At 42.0% G+C, this 19,706-nt stretch overlaps 1 protein-coding gene across 15 annotated transcripts in view; it reads left to right on the top strand.

Moving 5' to 3' along the window:
* The window catches only part of TRAPPC9 (trafficking protein particle complex subunit 9), a 730,855-nt gene that overhangs the window by 421,470 nt on the left and 289,679 nt on the right, over nucleotides 1–19,706 (top strand). For all 15 annotated transcript variants that reach the window (NR_164662.1, XM_011517326.3, NM_031466.8 and 12 more), the window contains one exon: nucleotides 13,031–13,173. Coding sequence is in view for 14 of the 15 variants with exons in the window: in XM_011517326.3 (XP_011515628.1) it covers nucleotides 13,031–13,173 (143 nt within the window). In the remaining variant the exon portion in view is untranslated. The remainder of the gene's footprint in view (nucleotides 1–13,030; nucleotides 13,174–19,706) is intronic.

The raw sequence follows: 19,706 nt of genomic DNA, 5'->3' as shown, positions 1-19,706 counted from the left end.
TGTAAAAATTTGAAATACATCACATGACAAGTGTTTATTAGCAAGAGGGCTGAAAGACTGTATGATAAAATAATGTGACGGTCACACACCAGGGCCTGTCGGGGGTGGGGGGCTAGGGGAGGGATAGCTTTAGGAGAAATACCTAACGTAGGTGACAGGTTAATGGGTGCAGCAAACTACCATGGCATGTGTATACCTATGTAACAAAACTGCACGTTCTGCACATGTGCCCCAGAACTTAAAGTACAATTTAAAAAAATAAAAAAAATAACAATAATGTGATCGTGATGATTTTCCGTAAACACACACGCGGCATCTTAGCTTCCAAGGAACCCCAGGCATCAGGTGAGGGTCGCTCCGCTGGCTCCTGCTCTCTCTCTGGACAGATGGGCTCCCTGCTCTGAGTTCTGCAGCGTCTCCCTGTGAGCCACGTCTCTTCAGCCCGACTTCTCCCCACTCAGGACTCGTGTGTCACACTGTCATCACTTGGATGTCCTTCGGAATCTCAAACTTCCTGTGTCCTAAATCAGAGTCATGGATCTTTGTACCACACCCTGTCTTCTTGCTCCTCTGCCTCTCTCCCCAACTTGAGTAAACTGGTAGTGCATTCTTCTCATTTTTTTTCGGTCAAGAATCTAATCTTGAAGAGATCCGTGGCTTCCCTTTTCCCTTCCCACTCAGCGTACCGTCGGTCAGCTCTGATGTCTTCAATGGCAGCACGTGTGCGGAGCCTGACCGTCAATGTTCACTCCATGCCACCCCCCGAACACGTCCCCATCAGTCTTCACCTGGCAGTGACTTCATCTGCTAGCTTGGCACCTCCTCTTTAGCCTTGTCCCCAGTCTGTCTTCCATGTTGCAGCCAGAGTGTTCTTTTTTTTTTTTTTAAAGAAGTCGTTCAGGTCATGCCTTTAGCTAAAAAGTCTTCGAAGGCTTCCCAGCCCGTTGGGAGCACAGGCGTGGGTCCCCTCTGAGCCTGGTGTGCCTGTGTGGTCTGGCTGCGGCTGCCTCTGCTCTCTCTGTAGCCCCGCCACATGGACCCTCGTAGCCAGTGTTTGTCCAGTGACGGGTGAGTTGGGCATTCAATTCCCCTGTGTAGCCCAGTCAGGTGGAAAGGGCCACTGGAGATTAATTGGTCCAAATCCATATTTCACAGATGGGAAAGCTGATGCCAAGAAAGGACAAGTGACTTTCTTGAGTCTACACCTAGGCTTGATGGGGGAGCTGTGGCCAGACGCCAGGTTTCTCCTGCAGGGGTTCTCAGTTTACCGCCTTGCCTGGTGTTGGCTGTGGGCTCACGTGGAGCAAGGCATCGAAAGACGCTTCTTCAGGCCGATTCCCGGTGAAGTCACAGTGCCCTGTCCTTTATCAGTGGCCTTCAGTGTGGTTAGGGCCTGGCGATTGTGGCTTTTGGGGTCAGATGCACCTGAGCTCTGTGGTTTACTAGCTACGGGAACTGGAGCAACGTACCTCACCTTGCCGAACGACAGTTGCTATTCAAGGCCTTCCTGTCGGATAGGATGGGGAAGTCCTGAGAGAGACCCAGTGTGCGCAGCTCCCAGCATTGTGTCTGGCAGGGGCCGGCCACCTAACACACACTGGTTGTGAGGATTGCTTCTTGCTGACCTGCTAGCAGTTTCTAGCCCTCTGCAGGTACTTAGTTTGGCATCTTTGCTGGGGGTCCCCATCAATTTCCTGCATGCGTAACACCTTAGTGTCTCCTCTTGAGTTGATTTCAGTCATACAACTTTGGAAGGATATAGCATTCCTTTCTATAAGCCGGAAGTCTGATGAAGTGCTGGCTGTCAAGTACATTTCTCTAATATTGAAGATCAGCAGTATTTAAAAGGCCACATCCTATGGCCAGAGAGTGTTTCTCATAACTAAATGAGTGCCAATGGAAAATGTCCTAATTGCTTATGGCTTATAACAGTGAATTAATGTAAGGACAATTCTGCTGATCCTAACAAATCTCTGCTGCCTAATTTCAGGCTGATTGTATTTCAGTTTTACTACATTTATTAAAATCATCCCTTCCACAGTTTACCCTCCTCCAGCTGTGTATACAGAAGGGGAAAAACCGTGAGCATCTTGAATGCAGCATTTAGCACCAAGGCCAGGGCAGCCTCATGGCGCGGCAGCTGTGAAACTGGCCTTCCTTCGGGAACCCAGGCCTGCTTCTTCAGGGCAGCGCCAGCTTTCTGCTCACAGTCTCCTTCTTTGTCTCCTTAGCCTTTCTCTGGGAGACAGCATAGGGCTGCCGGAAGAGCAGGACCTTCGGACTCAGACCTGGCTTTGAGCTTTGTGGCAAGGCTATTTATTTCCCTAAGCTTTCGATAGTGGTGAGCTGTTGAGGTAGTGATACCTGTGCTGCATTGTGGTAGGACTTAAAGTTTCTGAAGTGCTGCTCACAGTGCCTGGAGCACAGTATGAGCCTACTGAATGTCAGCTTTCTCCTTTCTCTGAGATTTGTTGTGAAGATGCTGTCATTCAGTTAAACGGAATGCATGTGGGGCACCTGCTCTTCAAGGCACTAGGTATGGAGCATGGTCCCTGCCCGCAGTGAGCTTTTATTCTGTTGAAGGATCCAAGCACTTGTGCTGCAGCGTGGTAAGTCAGAGGCAGGGAACGTGCTCCGTGCTGTTTATTGAGGAGGTGCAGCCAGCCTGGGCTTTGCAGGATCACAGAGACTCCCTAGGTGATGTGAGTTGTCCACAGAAACCCAATAACCAAGGAAGAATTTGTCAGTGGGAAGAGGGTAGGGTGGAGAGGTGAGGGAAATCTTTGTAAAGCCAGGTTATGAAGTATGGAAAAAGTGTTTATTAATAAGATTATCCATCCATCTGTTTAATGGACATTGATACATGGTTAATGTATAAATCATCTTCAAATGTAATTCTACTTAGCAAGCATTTATTGAATAGTTGCTTTGTGCCAAGTCTTGTGTTGGGTACAAACACACACTTGAGAAAATTAACAAAGCCAAAAATTAATTCTTGCAAAATATTAGTAAAGTTGATGATTCCCTAGCAGGTGTATCAAAAAGAGAAACACTATTACCATCTGGAATGAAAGAGGAACATACTATAGATCTTACAGATGTGAAAAGGTTAATAAGAGAACATAATGGGCTGGGCACAGTGGCTCATGCCTGTAATCCCAGCACTTTGGGAAGCCGAGGCAGGTGGATCACTTGAGGTCGGGAGTTCAAGACCAGCCTGACCAACGTGGTGAAACCCTGTCTCTACTAGAAACACAAAAATTAACAAGGTATGGTGGCACACCTCTGTAATCCCAGCTACTCAAGAGGCTGAGGCAGGAGAATCACTTGAACCAGGGAGGTGGAGGTTGCAGTGAGCTGAGATCACGCCCCTGCACTCCAGCCTGGGCGACAGAGCGAGACTCTGTCTCAAAAAAAAAAAAAAAAAAAAAAAAAAAAAAAAAAAAAAAAACCACATTATGAAGAGTTGCATTTCAATGCATTTGACAACTTGGATGAAATGGACAAATTTTGTATTCTAACTTTTTGGAGATTTCCCTGGATGAAATTTTATCTTAAAGGAAATGAATTTTTTTTTTCCTTTGATGTTTAGTGCTTTTTGTGGCTTCTCCGAGATCTCTTTTCCTATCCCAAGACTACAAAGATATTCCATGTCTTCTTCCAGACGTTCTAGGTGTTATATGTTTAGATGTATGACCCACCTCAAAATAATGTATGGTCAATGCCGAGATTTGTTTCTACACATTTGTCCAGTTGTTCCACCATCGTTTGTAGAAAAGGTAAATTTTATCATTGAATTGCATTAGCTTTTGGTAACAAATCAATTACCTGTGTCAGTGTGGGTTTATTTTTGGAATCTTTATTCTCATCCATTCATTTACTAGTCCTGGCCAGTGCAGTAGTCCAAGAAAGAAAATGTAAAAGACATAGATTTTGGAAATGAAGAAGCAAAACTGTCTCTGTCTGCAGACATGATTTCGTACAAGGGGTAATCTCCTTAGTGTAGAAAACCTCCCAGGAATTTGGACAAAAATACAGGTCAATTAAAAAAATAGGGAAATGATATGAATGTGTAATTCATGAAAAAGGCATGAAAATGTGCCAAGCATATGGAAAGATGTTCCACTTTTTTAATAATGAGAGAAATGTAAAATGAAACTACATTGAGATTCTTCACCTGTCAGACTGTCAAAAAGCCAAAAGTTGAACAATATACCCTGTTTTCAAGGCTTTGAGAAAAGAAGTGCTCTCTCAAGCATGGCTGTTAACATGTGACATGGTTCGACTTTCAGTTGAACATTTGGGTAGTATCCATTAAAATGACAAGATTTGTTTTTTGACCCAGAAATCTCCCTTGAAAAATATATCTTTCAGAAATATCTTCATGTATGGAAAGCAACTTATGTATGTGGTTATTTATTATAACATTGTTCATAATAACAAAATATTGAAAACAACTATGAATCCAATTTTTAGGGTACTGTTTAAGTAAGCTGTAGCATATCTGTACCATGGAATGGCACACATGTCTACAAATAACCTGCAAAGGATATTCTATAAAGGATGCTCTGTCTGTACTAAGTAAAAATTTTCAGGATCTATTAAGTGAAAGTTAACAAACAATAAGGCATACAAAGGTGGACAGCATGTGTAATTTATGTATTTATTGCAAGGTGGTGCTGGCTGGAGGAGGGTGGGGGGGGAGGAAAAGTTTACATTTGTATTTTCTTGTTTCTGTGTAAATAAATGTATGTAAATAAATGTGGATACATTAAGGAAAACTAATAAGGTGGTTACAGGGGATGGGAGAGGACAGTGGTCTGGACGTGGTGACAGAGGTGGGAGCAAGCCATCTCAGCACCGACCATTTTATATCACTTACATTTTAAATGACTGAATACACTTCTTATCGACAAAGTATGTAACTCCAGGTGTGATGGGTGCTGGAGCAGAGTGTCCATGTGGTATGTGTTAGAGAGTGGCAGAGTTTCTTTGGAGACGCTGGAAAGACTTCTCAGAGAAGGTGAAATTTGGCTGGAGCGTAAGTGCAGGTAGGACGTGGCGGCCCTCTGCACTGCTGTGGTCTATGGCACTGGGCTCATCGCCCAGGGAGTTAGGTTGGGGGTCCCAGGTTCTGTCTGGCCTCGACTCTCTGACTTGATGCTCTCCTTAGTATCCTAAACCAGACTTTCAACTTGGTCTTCTAACAGTCCCCAGACATACCCCCTCCTTTGGACCTTGTGTCCTAACTCTTCTCAGCCACCACGGGACTCCTGGGCCTCTTGGCTGGAAGCTGTTTTGATGGCTGCTGTTGTTCAAACCCATCCCTGCACTGCTGTGGATGGATCACTTAATTTGTAGTTACTTGGCATCTTGAAGGCATCATTAACACTGAAGAAAAACTTTGGTTGAAAGTGCTAATTAACTGGAAAGTAATGGTATGGCTTTTATTTGTGAGTTTCATTGACCTTAAGTAAACCGTTGTGCTGGTCTCTTGGGGAATGAGCCCCAGCCTTTGGTCTTGAATGTTTGACTTATTAAGTGGATCACATCACAGCTATTAATTTTATGTCATATTATAGAAACAGAGCAGAAGGAAATCCGTGGTGACAGGTTCAATTGAGGTCTTTAAATATTAGAGATCTACTTCATATACATTTAAGTTGGCTAGCATACATATGAGGGTGATTGTTTTTCTCTGACAATAGTGTTAGTTATATTAGAAGTTGTGGAACGTTAGGAAAATAAAGAATAACTGTTCATATAAGAGCTGGTCAAAACCTCAGGCAACATCTGGCATGACCCTCAGGTTTTAAGGTGAGGAGACTGAGAACTGGACAAGTGATGTGACTTCTCCCAGGTCACATGAAGCTTTAATTATGGTGAATCATAACCTCACTGCTGTTTCTTCTGATGCAGAACCCGGGATTCTTAAGTCTCCATCTGAAGCCTCTTCGAGGGCCTCACATTCGCTCTTAGACATGGCTGGTCCCACATCAACGTGGCCCACATTGTGACTTAGATTCTTTAATAATGTTTACGAGTGATTGTATGTCTATTAATGGTCAGGATCAATTTCAAAAATCAACTTTACTGAGTGTAATTTGCATTCTATAAAATGTAGCCTCATTAACCATACAGTTTGATGAATTGTGACAAATATATACTCCATGTAACCACCACCACCACCATAAAGATATAGAATATTTTTATCACCCTCCATAGTTTCTCTGACCCCTTTGCAGCTAACCCTCTCCTGCCTCTAACTCCAGGCAACTGCCGATCTCCTTGCTACCAAAGGCTGAGCTTTTCTAGTATCTCATATACATACAAGCAATGGTATGCACTCTTGTGTGTCTGGCTTCTTTCTTTCAGAATAAGGGGTTTTGGATTCTTCCATGTTGTGTATGTATCAGTAATTTGCTCCATTCTTTAGCTGAGTAGTATTTCGTTTTGTGAATTTACTACAATTTGTTTATTTGGTCACCTACCTCTTGTTGGACATGGAGGTTGTTTCCAGTTTGGTATTATTATGAATAAAGTCTCCGTGGACATTTACATCCATGTTTTTGTGTAGATATGTGTTTTTATTTTTCTTGGTAGGAGTTGCTTTGCTGAGTAATATGTTAATTGTAGGTTTAAGCGTAGGAGGATTTACCTAGCTATTTTTCAAAAGGATTTTACTATTTTATAGTGCCACCAGCAATTTCTGAGAGTTCCAGTAGATTTCTTAGGATGTTTTTGGTACATGATTATGTTGTCTGCAAACAAAGATAGTTTTACCTCTTCCTTTCCAACATGTATGCCCTTTGTTTCTGGACTTATTGAACTTGCTAGGATCTCAAGTACAATGCTTACAAAAATTATTACAGCTACATCTTAATCTGGATTTTAGATGCAAAACATTCCATTGCTTATCATCAAGTATGGTTTTGACTATAGGTTTTTCATGAGTGCATTTCATAGAATGAGGATGTTCCTTTCTATGCCTAGTTTGCTGAGAGTTTTTAAAAAACTATAAATGGGTTTTGAATTTCGTCAACTATTATTTCTGAAGCTATTGATCATTCAGCTTTTCTTTTTGTTGCCTGTCAATAGCTTATTAATATGGTGAATGACTTTGATTTTTGAAGATTAAACCAGCCTTGCATTATTGATGGCCGTGATGTATTACCCATTTTATATTTTACTGAACTTGATTCATTAGTACTTTAAAAATATTTTTTACATTTAAATTCATGAGGGATATAGGCCTCATGAATAGTTTTCTTAGAAGTTTTCTATCTGATTTTGATATTTGAGTAATATTGGTCTCATAAAAAGATTGGGAAAGTTTTCTCCTTTTTTCTAATTGCTAAAAATGTTTATTATATAAAATTGATATTCTTTCTAATTTACATGTTTGTTAGAATTCAGCTGAGAGACCATCTAAGCTTGGGGTTTCTTTTGGGAGTATATATATATATATTTTTAATTTTATTATTATTATACTTAAAGTTTTAGGGTACATGTGCACAATGTATGTCCAACAACGATAGACTGGATTAAGAAAATGTGGGAGTACATTCTTATTTGCTTGTTTGTTTGTTTGTTTGTTTGTTTTCAGAGACAGAGTCTTGCTCTGTCGCCCAGGCTGGAGGAAAGTGGCATGATCTTGGCTCACTGCAACCTCCACCTCCCGGGTTCAAATGATTCTCATGCCTCAGCCTCCTGAGTAGCTGTGATTACAGGCCTGCGCCACTAAGCTCAGCTAATTTGTGTACTTTTAGTAGAGTTGGGCTTTCGCCATGTTGGCCAGGCTATCTGAAAGTCTGGGGCTCAAGTGATCTGCCTCTGCGCAGCCTCCCAAACTGCTGGGACTACAGGCATGAGCCGCAATGCCTGGCCATCTTTTGGGAGTATATTCTTGATTTGTCTTCAATTGGCATGAGGCTCTTCAGATTTTCTGTTTCTCCTTGATTCCTTTTGGTAATGTGTGACCATTTTATCTAAGTTGTTGAATCTATTGACACAAAATTATTGATACTCTTCCCTGATTGTCCTTTTAATGGTTGTAGGATCTGTACCGATAATCATTCTCATTCCTGATGTTGGCAATTTGTTTTTCTCTTCTCTTTTTCCTTGATCAACTTAGAGGATTGTCACATTTATTGATATTTTCAAGAAGTAGGTTTTAGTATAGTTGTTTTTTTCCATTATTTATCCATTTTCAATTGATAATTGTCTAATCCTGTCTTCCTTACTGGTTTGTTGTTCCTTCCTCTGCAACTCCTACCCACCTGGCATATGTAGTCCTTTCTCCTCCTGTATTCTCATATATTCTAATACACTTATCCATGACACAACGTGTCACAATTTACTCAGAGGCATCAAGGCTTGTTTCTTTTACCAGACTCGAGTGCCCCAAGGGTGGCACTGTGCCTTCTTCCTCTCAAGTGCCACAGTCCCTGGGACATAGTAGACAGGGTTAGTGAGTGAATGATTGCATGGGTGAATGAATGCTATTCTAAACAGTTTGCCTGAATGGCAAGAGAGTGGGCTGTGCAGGCATGTTGCTCTGCATTCAGTTCCTGCCTGTGCTGCTTCCTGGGTGCTCTGAGCCTCATTGATGAAAGCAGCACTTCCCTTGTGGGGCTCTCATGACTGTTGCAGTTGGGTGTGTAAGTCACTCAGTGCAGCACTTGGCATGGAGTAGGTACTCTTTAATAAAAGGTACCTACTGACAGGCCTTTCATGTTAGCTGGAATAATAAGTTGTGTGCCTAGAAAATAAACATTTTGGTTGTAGTCCCTCGTTTATGATTTCTGTAATAGTCTTCTGTCAAAGTAAGGATTGAAAAATGCTCTCAGATGGGAACATCTTATGAAGTCTCTTGGATTGAGGAAAAGGGCTTGGACATCCTGTGTCTTTCCACTTCCCAGCTCCCCTTATGTTCTTATTATTAATAAGACCATATATATAATATATAAGACCTTATATATAATATTCTAATTTTAAAAGACTGAGGAGGCCTTTTTTTGTTATTTCTGGTTTTTGTTTTTATCTCAAAGAGGTAAGGCAGTGACACTGAACTTCAGAAAACCTTTTGATGTGGTTAGACTCTGTGTCCCCACCCAAATCTCATCTTGAATTGTAATCCCCATAATCCCCACGTGTCGAGGGAGGGACATGGTGGGAGGTGATTGGATCATGGGGGTGGTGTCCCCCATGCTGTTCTCATGATAGTGAGTTCTCATGAGATCTGATGGTTTTATAAGTGTTTGACTGTTCCTCCTTCACACACACACTCACTCACTTTCTCCTGCCGCCATGTAAGATATGCTTCTTCCCCTTCTGCCATGATTCTACATTTCCTGAGGCCTACCCAGCTGTGTGGAACTGTGAGTCAATTAAACCTCTTTTCTTTATAAATTACCCAGTCTCGGGCAGTTCTTTATAGTAGTGTGAGAATGGAGTAATACAACTTTTCTGTGCTTGATTTTGTTAAATTAGATATTTCCCCTCATAATTATATCTTTTTTGTGGTTTTCTACAGAGTAAAGTAATAGTAAATTCCCAGAAAGTAGAAACACAGACTATTTCCTCTTGGTGATGTGGTACTTTGACAGTTGTCTGTGTACTTTTTGTTCATTCCCCAGGTGATTTCTTTTACATCACTCTCTGTAGGTGACTTTTAAGTTTACCTCAAAAAAACAAACAAGAAGCCAGTGTGACATTTGTTGTTACTTCACAGATTTTGGCTTTTCACAGCCATTACTGAGAGTTTGTTTATTTCCATGACCACTGTGCCTGCATTTTGAGAAAGATGCTGTGTATATGTTAGGTGGTTGGTTGGCTTCATTTATTTATTATTTAATTTAGTCATACATTGCCTCACTCAGCATTTACAGAGCTTTCTGAGATCAGGGACTACATCTTCTTCATCTTGTACTGAGCACAGAGCCCTGCACTCAGAAGATACCCAGGAAGTGTTTGAAAAGATGAATGAAAAAATAGATCAAACAGATGAAAGTCAGTTGAACTCTGAAAGTTTTGACAGAAAGACTTATTGAGTGTGTGTGTGTCGAGTCTCACCTTCTGCTTATGACAAGGGCAATGTAAGAGGTCTGAGACGTGTTCACAAGAAATCAGCAGCCCTTTGGAGATGACAGGGCGGTGCTTGGGAGTAAAGGGAATGAAAAAAGGATTTGGGATTTTGGTGAGGCCAAAATATGATCCTTGAATATTAAAAAAAAATCTGTATTTTATTGAGCCATTTGTAAGTAAGAGGAAGGCATGGCTTTATTTGGGCTGTCGAGTAGTAATATTTACATAGGTGGAGAGAATCAGTGAAGGTATTTCTCTGGCAGTACAAATATTGAAGGGAACCTGTCAATATGTAGTCATGAAATATACCTATAGGAGTGGTGAGAGGGGATTTGGAATAGTGAGCTTTTAAAATGAGACTGAAGGACTCAAATAGAAATTTCTCCAAAGAAGATACATAAATGGACCATAAGCACATAAAAAGATGCTCAACATGACTAGTCACCAGGGAAATGCAAATCAAAACCACAGTGAGATATTCCTTTGTGTCCCTTAGGATGGCCATTATCACAAAAACAGAACATAGCAAATGTGTGGTAAGGATGTAGGAAAACAGGAACCCTGTGCACTGCTGGTGGGAATGTAAAATGGCACAGCCACTGTGCGAAACAATATGGTGGCTTCTCAAAAAATTACATAGAGAATACCCGTATGATTCAGAAATTCCACTTCCGGGCATATACCCCAAAGAACCGAAAGCAGGGTCTCGGCACTGTCCAACCATAGCAGCACTGTTCACACGAGCCAAGGGGTAGGAGCAACCCAAGTGCCCGCTGACAGACGAATGGATGAGTAAGACACAGTACATACATGTAATGGAATATTGGTCTTTAAAAAGAGGAAATTCTGACCCACGATTCAACACGGTTGATTCTCGAGGACATGATGCTGAGTGAAATCTGCCAGTCACAAAAGGACAAGTACTGTAGGATTCCACTCATGCAAGGTGCCTAGAGTGTCAAATTCAGGAAGACAAAAAGTAGCATGGTGGGTGCCAGGGCCGAGAGGAAGGGAGACTGGGGAGTCCATGTTTAATGGGTTCAGAGGGTCAGTTTGGGAAGATGGAGTAGTTCTGGGGACGGAAATGGATGATGGAGATGGTTGATAGACAGAATGAGTGTGCTTAACACCACTGAACTGTGTACTTAGAATTGTTAAAATGGTAACTTTTATGTTATGCATACTTTGCCACATTACAAGAATATAAAACAAAACTAGAAGAAACGGGACTAAAACTCATTTCCTCCGATTCTAAGCCATGTTGCCTCAGGGTGTCAGATGGGTAGGTTGCAGGGGAGAAAGGAATTTATTTAATGAGCGACTTCTTGTTCTGTCACTATATTTCCTCATCAAATCTGCACGAATCTAGTGAGATACATATTAATTATTGTCCCTATGTAACAGTTGAGAAGCTTTGATTTCCTTTTTTTCCTTTTTCTTTTCTTTTTTTTTTTTTTTGCATTTTGCTTATGCTTTTGGTGTCATATCCATGAAACCTTTGCTTAATCCAAGGTCATGAAGATTTGTTCCTATGTTTTCCTCTGGGTTTTATCTGCAAATCTTTGATGTAAAGGTCCACATAGTATTTTAAGCTTTGCCAGCCGCATATGGTCTCTGTTGCGTATTCTTCTCTGGTTTTGCTTTGTTTTGTTTTGTTTTACAAGCTGTAAACAAATGTAAAAACTGTTCTTAGCTCTCAGGCCACACAAAAACAGGCGGTGGTCAGATTTGGTCCATGGGCTGGATCTGCTGTGTCCTCTGCTTCCGGAGGGTCCTGGGGAAGGCAGGGTCCTTCAGTCCGGAGGGGAACCTGGTTGAACTTCTTGTTGCTGTGGTTACTCTGGGTGCCCCCAGGCTCCACATTCCCCTGATGTTGCCCTGTACTCAGGGTTGCAGAGAAGCTGTAATGTTCCCCTTCGGTCCCCAGCCATCCTGAGTGCAGCGCCACCCCCATGGGTGGGGTCTCCCCATACCTCTGTTCTTCGCCTCTCACTGGGTACCGCTGGGCCCCAGCAGGAGCACATGAGTACTCCCCACTGTGCAGCACCCTGCCTCTCCTGGAATGCCTTGGTTGCCCTGGGAAGTCTTCTCTTGGATGGGTTCCAGGAAGCATCCTGAGTGTGGAGTTTGTCGGCTTTTACTCACTGTCAGCCCAAGTGACCCTACCTTCTGGATAGAAGCACCCCCGCCCCCGCCTGTCACCTCATCTGATGTTGAAATGATGCTCATAGAAATGTGTTTTTCTCTCTAAAATGCCGTGTTTAGGCCGGCGCAGTGGCTCACGCCTGTCATCCCACACGCCTGTCATCCCACATGCCTGTCATCCCACACGCCTGTCATCCCACACGCCTGTCATCCCAGCACCTTGGGAGGCCGAGGCGGGTGGATCACCCGAGGTCAGGAGTTCAAGAACAGCCTGGCCAACATGGTGAAATCCCATATCTACTAAAATACAGAAATTAGCCAGGCGTGGTGGTGTGCACCTGTAATCTCAGCTACTTGGGAGGCTGAGGCAGGAGAATTGCTTGGACCTGGGAGGCAGTGGTTGCAGTGAGCTGAGTTTGTGCCACTGCCTCCAGCCTGGGCGACAGAGTAAGACTCCATCTCCAAAAAAAAAAAAAAGAAACCATATTTAACCACAGAGTAAGTTTTGGAAGCCCTTTCCGTTTGCATGTACAGGCTGAGAATTGTGTAGACTCTGGGACATCACAGGAAAGATGGTGCCCACCGGGGGTGTAAGATGGTGCCCGCTGGGGGTGTGAGTCGGTCCCCGCCGGGGGTGTGAGTCGGTACCCGCCGGGGTTGTGAGTCGGCCAATGCTGATGACTTGACTAGTTGGGATTATCTTCAGACTCTTCCTAAGCGAAGCCGCTTGCCTCCTGGTGGATCAAACTAGAGAGTTACTAATGTGTGTGTGTGTATTTTTTTTTTTAATATCTTTTAGACCCTGGAAGCTGTCCTGAATTTCAAATACTCTGGAGGCCCGGGCCACACTGAAGGATATTACAGGAATCTCTCCCTGGGGCTGCATGTAGAAGTCGAGCCGTCTGTATTTTTCACCCGAGTCAGCACCCTCCCAGCAACCAGGTAAATGTCTTCCTGCCGCACAGCCGTCTTGTTCTAGAGTCTCAACAGCACTACGTTCAGAATCCTGACCTCAGTGTGTTTTTGTCATGCATCCCGTCAGATCCGTGCCATGGGGCCAAGTTGCTGAGCCTCTCTGGGATGTAGGTTTTTCTTTAGGAAACCAGGTGTTACATGAGAACTGCCTCTCAGGTGGTCGTAAGTGAATGGGCTTTACATATCACGCCGTGCTGTAATCATAACGCTGATGATTGCAGCATTCCTACGTGTGGTTCTCACTGTGCACACACATTTCCCGCCCAGCCTGGCCTGGCTGCATTCTGGCTTACCTCTCCTGTTAGCAGGGGCTCAGTGGATAGCACATGTCTTAGGGACTCCTGGACAAGTCCAGCATCTCTTCTGCATCATTCCTGGCATCCCCATAAGATGGGCACTTTGTGGAGCTCCCAGCCATCTTGGCATCAGGTCATTTCTGCCCAGGAGGCCCTTCGCATACAAAGGCTTTCTCTCCTGCCTACTTTCCAGACCTAATCTTCCTTCAGGGAGAAAGAAATTGGACAGTTTGTACACTTGAAACCCAGAGGTGGCAAGAGATACTCAGGGTATTCTTTTCTGAGGTGGGAGAATGATATTTCTCATCCAGAACTTTCCCCTCTGGTGATGTTGGAGTAGTGGAATCTAGAAGCTGGAGGTGAATGAAGCTCCTGCCAGCTGGGGACCCTCTGTGGCTCCCATTCCTCCGTAGTGCCAGCAGCCTTCGGGAAGCAGGTGCTCTTCACCTCCGAGCTCGTCCTGGTGTTCGTGTCCGGCTAGGTCTTGCCTATCTGAGTAGGGTGGGCTGGATGGGTATTATTTAAATGCTTACCTGTCTATCCTCGAAGGGGGCGGTGGGGGGATCCCGTGCAGCCCCTCCTCCTCCAGTGGGCCCTGTGTGCTGCAGCGTGAGACAGCATGTTGTTGTCCATGTTAATGTTGGCATAAAATCCCTTGAAAATGATACAGCTTTAAATAATAAGTGTGGTTTTAGTTTATAGGAAAGACTTGTTTTTCTTCCCAGCCATTGGAGAATGCCTTCAGCAAGAATTAATGGTTTAGCTGGGCCTTTTAGCATCACATTTCATCATCTGTCACCTTTTCAGTCCTCAGAGTAAGAGCCTTTCCTGCCAAGACCCGCCTCTGTTTTGAATTTGTGTAAAGCATTAAAGCACTTGCCCCTGGGGAAGCTTGGCCAGGATGGCTGCGGATGTTAGAGTATTTCAGGCCCTTTCTGAGCATTACATTTGCTCCATCATGAACCTGTTGTGTGTTTCTCTCTCATCCCCTCATCTCCTGCTGCCGTTGCCCACATAAATAATTCTTGGAAGCGGCACAGGTTGTCATCAGCTGAGTTCGTCTTTTTTTCCCCATTGATATCTGGTTTTCACGTCATGACCCCTGCAGTTCTAAATGACAGTTGAAGATGAGAAAAATGCCGCTATGTGGTTTGCTGCACACAGAGGTTTGGAAGCGTAGGTGGTCAGCTGAAGCGCTATGTGGATCCTGCCCCCAAGCCTGTGGCCCTTGCTCCCTTTTCTTTTGGTTTCCGTGGTTCTTTTCCCTGCTCTTGGGATTGAGATTTGATGTCTTCTAATTCTCCTTTTCTGTTATTCCTAAGTCTAAGTGGTCCCCAAGCCCTGTGGATTGGACTTCTGAGATGTCTCCCAATGACTCTGCAATCCACTGCATGCCTTTGTCACTGTAGAGAGAGTTGCCCCATTGGTCTCTCTGCTGACAGCCTTGTTTCCCGTTGTCATCCTTTAATTACACATGTGCCTGTGCCACTGCTCTGGCACATACTTTCCCAGTGCTGATGAGATAAAGTCCAGAGTCCCTCCTATGACATCCATGGTGCTTAAGGATCTGGCCCAGATCTTCCCCTTCAGTCCCTTTGCCCCAGTCCCATACTTCGTGTAAAGGGCGCTTTGCTCCTCGCCATTGCTGGGATATGTGCAGGTGGCTTACACCAGTGCGCTTCTGCACACACCTTTTTCTAACACTGTTCTCTCTCTTAAATGAAGATGCTTTATTCAACCTTTTGGAAAATACCTGTTTGACCTTGACCCATGTTACCATTTTTGTAAAATTTTTCTGAGTGTGACTTGGCAGAGTGGATTGGCCTTTCTGTGGGTCCCTTAACATTACATGTACTTCTGATAATGCACTTACCAGAGTGTATTGGAAATAGTTTCATTTGTTCCTTAAGCCGACACTTCCAAAGTTTCAGGTGCTATATAAAGAGATCACTGGTTTAAGAGACAAATGGAGCACAATTCCTGTTTTTTACTACCCTGATATAAGCTCATCCATCAGAAATAAAAGCAAATGGAAACCGGAAGCTATATAAAGGAGTGATGAACCTAATAAATAGTAAATAAGTGAATAAATAGAAAAGATTTGTTTCCTTCACTTTTAAAATTTCTTTGAAAGATTAATTGACTACTTAAAGAAATAAGAACATTTAATTCTGTAGTGTATAGCACATATGCAAATAAAATATGTAACAAAAAAGTGGCACAAAGAATGGGTGGGAAAATAGAAATTCTTGTGTTATATGCAAATTGTTATAATATTTTTTGAAGTTAAGATGTGATCAGCTAAAGATACATGCAAACTCTGGAGCAATCCACTTAAGGAATGGATGATAAGCCAGAAGACATAAAATGGAATATTTAAAAATACTTAACCCCAAAAAAGGGGAAGAGGTATCAAGAAAGAAGGAGAAAAGAACAAGGAACGTACAGTCAAATAGGAAACAGATGGCAATGTGTAGGACTCAAATCTACTGTATCCAGAGTTACACTAAACGTAAATAGATTTAATACTACCTTTAAAAATGGAGATTGTCAAACTATACAAGAAAGTAAGATGCCAACTACCTTTTTTATAAGAAATTGACATTAACTATGCATAATGTAAAAACAAAAAGATGAAGGAAAAGACATAAAGACAATTATTTAGTTGGTTTGGGTATCTTAATATCAAACGGTTAGACTTTCAAGAGAAAAAGAGGACAATTTTTAATGACAGCAAAATCAAGTCATCAAAAGTACATAATGATCAAATGAAACTGTTTACAAATATAACTTCATAGTAAAACTGACATACTGAAGGGAGAAATTGATAACCCCACCATGGTAGTTGAAAACGTCAACATTTATCTCTCAGTATTTGGTAAAATAAGTAGACAAAAAAATTAGTAACAATATAGAAAACTTGGACAATTCTTTTAATCAGCTCCACCTACTTTGTATGTGTACATGTGTATTTTTTTTTTTGAGATAGAATCTCACTCCATTGTCCAGGTGGGAATGCACTGGCACCATCATAGCTCACTGTAACCTCAAACTCCTGGGCTCAAGTGATTGTCCTGCCTTGCCTCCCAAGTAGCTAAAACTACAGGTGCAGAGGACCGCAACTGGTTTATTTTTTAAACTTTTGGTAGAGATGGGGTCTCACTGTCTTGCCCAGGCTGGTCTCAAACCCCTGGCCTCAAGCAATCCTCCTGCTTCAACCTCCGAAAGTGCCTAGTTGTTATTTATAATACAGTAAATGTTTGTATTAGAAATGGTGAATGGCTTAAAATCAGTGATATTGCTTCTTTATTAGATAAGGATAGCAAAATGTACCTAGAGTAAGCAGAAGAAATAATAGAGTGGATATCAGTGCTATAGAGTATGAACAAATAAATTCATAAAGTTGGTGAAACCAACAGTTGGTTCTCTGAAAATAGTAACAATAAAATTAATAAATTGTAACTAGGGTGGTCAGAAAAAAATGTGGAAACACAAATAACTAATAATGAGAATGAAAGAGGTGGCATTACTACTAATTCCACAGACATTAAAAGGATAATAAGATAATATTATTAAAAATCATAAAACATACAAAACATTAAAAAAAATTAGCCGGGTGTGATGGGACATCCCTATAGTCCTAGCTACTCAGGAGGCTGAGGCAGGAGGATACCTTGAGTGACCTACGATCGTGCCACTGCACTCCAGCCTGGGTGGCAGAGAAGGTGCCTGTCTCTTAAAAAGAAGAAAAATGACGGCCAGGCGTGGTGGCTCACACCTATAATCCCAGCCCTTTGGGAGGCCAAGGCAGGCGGATCACCTGAGGTCAGGAGTTTGAAACCAGCTTGACTAACATGGCGAAACCTCATCTCTACTAAACATAGAAAAATTAGCTGGGCACGTGGTGCATGCCTGTAATTCCAGCCACTCGGAAGGCTGAGGCATGAGAATCGCTTGAACCCATGAGGCAGAGATTGCAGTGAGCCAAGATTGCACCACTGCACTCCAGCCTAGGTGACACAGCGAGATTCTGTCTCAAAAAAAAAAAAAAAAAAAAAAAAAAAAGACACAAATTACTAAAATTGACACAGGAAAAAGAAATAGAAAAAATAAATAGTCACACATCAGTTAAAGATTTTGAATTCTTAATTAAAATCTTCTCACAAAGCAAACTTTAGGCCCAGATGGCTCTACTCTGAAATATATGAAGCTTTTTAAAGAAAGAAATAATATCACCTTTACAAAAACTTTTTCAGAAAATAAGGAGGAAATACTTCCCAACTTCCATTTTATGATACCAACATCACCTTGATGCCAAACCCAGTCAGAGACATTATGAGAAAAGAAAACTGTAGACCAATAACCTCATGTATATACATGTGAAATATGAAAACAAAAAATCAAATCAACTTCAGTGATATATGAAAGGGACAAAACAGCATGAACAATTCAGGTTTTACTCAGAAGTATGAGGTTGTTTTACCATTGAAAGATCAGTCATTAGAATTTGTCATGTTAGCAGAATAAAGGAGAAAAATCATATGATTATATCAGTTGATAAAGAAACATTATTTGACAAAAGTCAATGCTTAATTATGCCAGAAACACTCAGTACACTAGGATTAGAAGAGAACTTCCTCAGTCTGACAAAGGCCATCTACAAGAAACCCCACAGTTAATGTTATACTTAGAGGTGAAAGTCTGATGACTTTTTCTCTAAGAATAACAAGGCACGTTTCCACCGTATTCATTATTTTTCTGGCAGTCCTAATCAGAGCAATAAGGGAAGAAAATAAATAAGGGTATTAAAATAGGAAATGAAATAAAATTATTATTATTCACATGTCTTTCTTTGTATGGTACATATGATTATGTACATAAATATTGTGAGAAATCTGCCACACCAAAGAAATTAGTAGAAATAATAAGTCAATTTAGCAAGATTGCAGGATGCCACTCAATATTTAAAAATCACTTATGTGGCCAGGCACGGTGGCTCACGCCTGTAATCCCAGCACTTTGGGAGGCTGAGGTGGGTGGATCACAAGGTCAGGAGATCGAGACCATCCTGGCTAACACGGTGAAACCCCATCTCTACTAAAAATACAAAAACAAAATTAGCCGGGCGTGGTGGTGGGCACCTGTAGTCCCAGCCACTTGGGAAGCTGAGGCAGGAGAATGGCGTGAACCTGGGAGGTGGAGCTTGCAGTGAGCCAAGATCACACCACTGCACTCCAGCCTGGGTGACAGAGTGAGACTCCGTCTCAAAAAAAAAAAAAAAAATCACTTACGTTTCTATATACCAGCAACTAACAATTTGAAAATGAAATGTAAAAAATAATATATGCAGTAGAATCAAAATAATAAAACACTTAGGAAAACATTTCTACAAATCTTATCCCTACCTAGAAAATGACAAAACATGATAAAGAGAAATGAAAGATGACTTAAATAATTAGAGAGGTGGCTGGGCACGGTGGTTCATGCCTATAATCCCAGCACTTCGAGAGGCCGAGGCAGGTGGATCACAAGGTCAGGAGTTCAAGACCAGCCTGGCCAGTATGGTGAAACCCACTCTCTGCTAAAAAATACAAAAATTAACTGGGTGTGGTGGTGGATGCCTGTAGTCCCAGCTACTTGGGAGGCTGAGGCAGGAGAATCACCTGAACCCAGGAGGTGGAAGTTGTAGTCAGCCGAGATTATACCACTGCACTCCAGCCTGGGCAACAGAACGAGACTCTGTATCAAAAAAAAAAGTATACCATGCTTAGTGATTGGAAGAATTAGTTTTTCTTAAGATAGTGGTTTTCCCCGAACTGATTGTAAGTTGAATGCAATTCGGTCAAAATCCTAGCAGGATTTTTGTTTAGTGGAATTATAAAATTATTTTGAAATTGAACAGACCTAGAATAGACAAATAACTTGACAAAAAAGAACAAAGTTGGAGGACTTACACTGTATGATTTTAAGACAATGTAAAGCTATAATAATCAAGAGAGTATGTTATTGGTGTAAAGACAGAAAAAGAGATCAATGGACCATAATAGATAGTCCAGAAATAGTTCCAATTGTATCTCATCAGTTGATTTTTAACAAGATGCAAAACTAATTTCATGGGGAAAGAAAAGTCTTTTTAATAAAAGATGCTGGAACAACTGGACGTCTGTGTGGGGGAATAAAAACAACCCTTCACCCATACATCAC

The sequence above is a fragment of the Homo sapiens genome, chromosome 8 (assembly GCF_000001405.40).
Source record: "Homo sapiens chromosome 8, GRCh38.p14 Primary Assembly".
NCBI lineage: Eukaryota > Metazoa > Chordata > Mammalia > Primates > Hominidae > Homo > Homo sapiens.
Note: the sequence above shows the minus strand (reverse complement) of the source record. Positions and strands in the feature narration are given on the sequence as shown.